Genomic DNA, 3,315 nt, shown 5'->3' on the forward strand with positions numbered 1-3,315 from the left:
ATTACAGCTATGAAACAGCGTGCATGGCGAGTGGATTTATTTTTTTGATTATTATGAATAAGACCTTCTCCATGTAGTAGGCCAACCTGGCTATCTCTCCTTAGCTGAAGCCAGATCTCTTTCCCCTGAGAGAACATAACTTTTTTTTTTTTTTTTTTTTCTGATACGGAGTCTCGTTCTGTCGCCCAGGCTGGAGCGCAGTGGCGCCATCCCGGCTCACTGCAAGCTCTGCCTCCCGGGTTCACGCCATCCCCTGAGAGAACATATTTATTTCCCCTCGTATAAGGGAAAGTCCTCACATGCTCAAATCAGAAATCCTTCCAGTTTAGATGTGCTTTGGATCTGCAGAGGCTTTTATTCCCTCTTTCATGAAATGAATCATAATTAATAATAGCCAGAGGATGAGGAATTACAGTCATGCCTTCGGATGTGTCTTCAGCCTAGCGAATGATGACAGCAATGACGAAGCATTTCATCAGCTTGAACACATCCTTCACCCCAGAATTTCCACCTGGTACCCCCACAGAAGAGCCCTCACAATGTGGTTGGAAGAGCAGAGGAAATGAGGCCCAGTTAGTCAACTGCCTCGTGCAACTCCTACTAAACCAGTGATTCAGCTCTTGGCCCACAAAAACCAACTTTTTTATTCCTAAGAGAAAAAAGAGAAAGAATTCAAAGTTAGTACTGATTTAGGAAAATGAATCAAATTCCCTCTGAGCAAATGAAAGTCAGCAGAATTGCTAAAAGTCCACTAATTTTCCACTAAGTTATTTCACTTTCTGGAAGTTTATCCACTCAGATAATCAACAAAAGCCACATCTATAGAGAGGTGGGTAAAGAAGGTAGGCCAGCTTCTGGAACTGTCTGGATTACTCCTAAACATGAGGGGAAATATTTCACACTCACAGAACTGCAGGAAAATAAAACACATGAGAAAAAAAAAAAAAAAAAAGGATTAGGTCAGGTGCGGTGGCTCCTGCCTGTATTCCCAGCACTTTGGGAGGCCAAGGCAGTAGGATTGCTTGAGGCCAGGAGTTCAAGACCAGCCTGGGCAAAATAGTAAGACCCCATCTCTATGAAATACACAAAAATTAATGGGGCATGGTGGTGCATGCCTTTAGTTCTGTCAGAGGCATTTGAACCAGAGCAACTCCATCTTGAGTAGGGGCTAGGTAAAATAAGGCTGAGACCTGCTGGGCTGCATTCCTAGGAGGTCAAAGCATTCTTTATTACAACATGAGGTAGGAGGTCGACACAGGATACAGGTCATAAAAACTTTGCTGATAAAATAGTTTGCAGTAAAGAAGCCTCCTAGAACCCACTAAAACCGAGATGGCCACGAGAGTGACCTCTGGTCGTCCCCACTGCTACACTCCCATCATCGCCATGACAGTCTACAAATGCCATGGAAAATGTCAGGAAGTTACCCTATATGATCCAAACAGGGGAGGCGGCCGGGAGCGGTGGCTCACGCCTGTAATCCCAGCACTTTGGGATGCTGAGGCGGGTGGATCACGAAGTCAGGAGATCAAGACCATTCTGGCTAACATGGTGAAACCCCGTCTCTACTAAAAATACAAAAAAAAAATTAGCCGAGTGTGGTGGTGGGCGCCTGTAGTCCCAGCTACTCTGGAGGCTGAGGCAGGAGAATGGCGTGAACCCGGGAGGCAGAGCTTGCAGTGAGCAGAGATCATGCCACTGCACTCCAGTCTGGGCAACAGAGCGAGACTTCCTCTCAAGAAAAAATAAATAAATAAATAAATAAATAAAGCAAGAATAATCCACCTGTTGTTTAGCATATAATCAAGAAATAACCATAAAAATGGTCAACCCTCAGGGCTGCTCTGTCTACAGAGGGGCTACTCTTTTATTCCTCTACTTTCTTAATAAACTTGCTTTCACTTTCCTCTATGGGCTCCCCTGAGTTCTTTCTTGCGTGAGATCCAAGAACCCACTCTTGGCGTCCAGCAACAGTTCCACCTACCCAAGAGGCTGAAGCGGGAGGATCACTAGAGCCAGAGAGATTGAGGCTGCAGTGAGCTATGACCTCACCACTGCACTCCAGCCTGGGCTACAGAACAAGACCCAGTCTCAAAAAAAAAAAAAAAAAGAGAAAAGAAAAAAAAGAGGACTGAGTCAGCCTTTTCACTTATTATCCCTCTGGCCCTCATTCCTCCTTTTGGTTTGAGAACTAAGGTTTTTGTCATCACAAGTGCAAATGAGTCTTATTCATTCAAGGGAGTCAGGCTTAGCCTGACCCCTTTACTAACTGTGAGCAGTGGATTGTTAAACCTAATAAGCATATGCACATTTGTTCTAAGAACAAATAGCTTTGGGGTAAGATGCAAGATGACCTGCCTTGGAAATAAAATATTAAGTACTTAACATTTTACCATAAACAGTTGCCTAATGTCTAATCGAGTGGGATTTGATGTCTTATTATTTGATCCAGCTTCAGCTATTTTCTATGACTGAATTCAGGATCCCCTCCACCACCATCATCAGTACCTTCCATTACCCATCCAGCTCTCAACAGATCTTCTTTTAGCCTTTAAATGACTCTGAGCCCACACACAGAAAAAAAAGAAGTTGTTTTAGGTTCAAGAAACTGCCCTTTCCTCTTTTTAATTACAGTATATCCAAATGGTAAGTGCTTTTATTTGCATTTGAAGGAAAAATTCAAAGAGTTGGGGTTGGAATGAGGAAGTTCTTAAACATCTTTCCTAAATATCCTGACAATGAAAACCCATAGAAAGGGAAAGACTCCAAGACTAGCAAGGGTAATGATAAACAAAACAAAATAAACTATCCAAAAGAGAGAAAATCCCTGATCTCTCTTTTCTCTTTCTTCCCCTTTGGCTTCTTTAGTGGGTTATCTCCTTTTTGCCCACAGGCAGAGCATCCAGATTTCTTTCAGAATAACAATGGCTGTTATCTAATTCCTAAACTATTCCTTTCATCTTAAACCTTCCCGAGGCAAATCCTCCATCTCCCTCCTAGCCTCACCCTCAAGCACTTTATTTTAGCCATGATATATATGTATGTGTATATATATATATAGTTGCCCAAGCTGGAGTGCAATGGCGTGATCCCGGCTCACCGCAACCTCTGCCTCCTGGGTTCTAGTGATTCTCCTGGTCAGCCTCCCGAGTAGCTGGGATTACAGGCATGCACCACCACACCCAGCTAATTTTTTGTATTTTTAGTGGAGACAGGGTTTCTCCATGTCGGTCAGGTTGGTCTCGAACTCCCAACGTCAGGTGATCCGCCCACCTCGGCCTCCCAAAGTGCTGGGATTACAGGCGTGAGCCACTA

General features: G+C 43.8%; 1 annotated feature.

Annotated features, from left to right (window-relative positions):
• Nucleotides 864-1,416: an enhancer, noted in NCBI's record as "NANOG-H3K27ac-H3K4me1 hESC enhancer chr6:15207084-15207636 (GRCh37/hg19 assembly coordinates)". NCBI's record gives its function as "activates a minimal SCP1, AML or CMV promoter by ChIP-STARR-seq in naive H9 embryonic stem cells {active_cell/tissue: H9 hESC(naive)}" and the evidence as "EXISTENCE:reporter gene assay evidence [ECO:0000049][PMID:30033119]".

Source organism: Homo sapiens, chromosome 6, assembly GCF_000001405.40.
Source record: "Homo sapiens chromosome 6, GRCh38.p14 Primary Assembly".
Classification (NCBI taxonomy): domain Eukaryota; kingdom Metazoa; phylum Chordata; class Mammalia; order Primates; family Hominidae; genus Homo; species Homo sapiens.